This window comes from Homo sapiens, chromosome 11, assembly GCF_000001405.40.
Source record: "Homo sapiens chromosome 11, GRCh38.p14 Primary Assembly".
NCBI classification, from domain to species: domain Eukaryota; kingdom Metazoa; phylum Chordata; class Mammalia; order Primates; family Hominidae; genus Homo; species Homo sapiens.
In genome coordinates this window covers 23,522,622-23,524,970 of record NC_000011.10, presented here as the reverse complement: position 1 = coordinate 23,524,970, position 2,349 = coordinate 23,522,622, and positions in this window count along the sequence as shown.

The window sequence follows — 2,349 nt, the reverse complement described above, 5'->3', positions numbered from 1 at the left end:
AATAATTCATAAAGCTTGGAGTCATTTATGCAACAATAACAGAGAAAAAAACATCTTTCCCTTTCTTTAAGCTTCATCAAGATTACTCCTTACTTCAAGACCACCCCAACAAAGTAAGAATGCACCAAATGTGATCTAACTTGTGATATGAATAACTATACTTCATAAGAATAATTCTAGTGTGACATTATATTTGCAGAAATGTAATCATTTAATTAATATTTAATGTGTCATGATTTTTATTTCATTTTAATGCTGAAATTATTTTTTGAAAGAATATGTATTCAGTAAGAGATAAAAAGCAAACACTGCCATTCCTTTTGAATTTGAATAGACTTGATTTGCAGTTAGATGTTGAATTAGTAATGCGGCAACACCAGACAACATTAACAAATGCCTTTCCAGTAAGCAAGTATAAGAAAGTAAGTAACATTAATGCCAATGAAACTCACATAGCTGAATTAATTTTCTATTCTGATGGTTAAAATATTGGGCAGCCAAAAGTTGCCTTTGTGAAGATGTTCTATCTGCCTTGTTTTGCCATGACCAATTACAAGTGTTGTTTGCAGCTTCAATTTAAGGAACAGGTACCTATGGGAATTAATACACAAATTGGTTAATCCAACCCATGTTTATCAAATTGCAATAAAATTATGGTGGCATACACAACAGAATACTCCTAATGCAAATATGGCCTTCTCTATTTCTCCACAGAAATGACATAATTATTATATCAGTAAGTGAAAACTAGCATAATAATTTTATCTCAATTTTTTGTAGATCGAATATTTTATTCTGCAGTTTCAAACAGGAAATTACATATTGTGCTCCAACTCCAACACCAAAGAATACCACTTCAAACAATAAAATATGCAATACCATAATGATAGAGAAGTGCTTGGACTATTCAGATCCACCAAGCCATGAAGCCAGTTGAGACTACTTTGCTATTAAATGACAGAATATCTTTTGTTGTTGTCTTTCTCCATGAGATAAGAGATTTGCCTTCCCTCAGTTCTAGGCTCTCATCCTTAAAGTCTCATGATCAGAAAATAAAGAGGGTTTTCTTTTTTTTTTTTTCAACTCAACAAAAAATAATCCTAGGGAAGAATTCCGATTGGAATGAGTTGGAAGAGGTTTTGCTATTTCTTTGTGTAGAACTGCTCTCAGAGAAAAACAATAGCCAACTTAAAAGTTCTTCATACAATGCATGCTATATATTAAGTCAGTAAGTGCTTAACGCATGTCGGAAAATGTAATTACTGATTCTCAGTTAAGGACAGGAGGAGTATAACCATATGTAGACCTGGCAATCTGACATTTTAGGTTTTAATTCCAATTATTTTGGAGATATGAACTTGGGTAAATTGCTTTGCAATTCAGAGCCTCAAATTTTGGTGGTAAAATCACCTTGATAGAGAACTCCTAACTCACTGTTTTGCTTTTCATTTGTTTGTCTTTTCAATGAGACAAAAATTGCCTTTTGTGCATAGTATGAGGCCTGTCCATACTAGTCAGTAAATGCCTGTTCAATCCCCTTTTCCAATTATGAGTTTTGGGATATTAACAGAATCCTTACCTTAGGAAAACATCAAAACTCTCTGTCTCACTTTCTTCACCATTGATATCCCTTCCTGACTGGACTGTGATTTAGATAAAATGAAATTGTGCATGTAATGGAACTTCAAGTAGTTAAAGGCCTTTTTCAGTTGCAAAGGCTTATTATAGTAGATATGGTTCCAATTTTACTTTGTCACTGCAGACCTTTTAAAAAGCTAACAATAAGTCAATCAGCAATTGAGAACCAGAAACTAAAAAAAAGCATTCCAGTATCATATAACTTGACACTATCCTAGTGCTTTCTGAGATTAATAGCAGATTTCAATGTCATTATATAAATTATGAATGTTGTATAAGTAGGTGGTTAATGTGATTGAGCCTATTTGTTATGGAATAAAAATGACTAGAAATAAGTATGATCATAGCAGAAGACTGCAGATGCTACTTCTGCTGGAGTCTGAGAAAGCTTTCTCCAAAAATGAAGTATGTTAAAAGGTTTTCAAGTGCAGCTGAGCTCTTTACCGATTTCATAGTTCTATTCACATGATAAATTCTTAATATCTTTTTTCATTTTATATATATGTAAAACCAGGAGGAACTATTCTTCACAAATAATACTAATAAAGCCCTCTCCTCCTCGATTTTTTTAAAGGGCCTAGCTAGTATAAGGAAGATTCTAGAAATGAGTTATTTAACTAGGACCATGGGAGCACATAAGAATTTTATTAGCAGTAGGATTTAATTATAACCACAAGGACTTATGTCTTTAAGGCCTTCAAGAAAGAAACA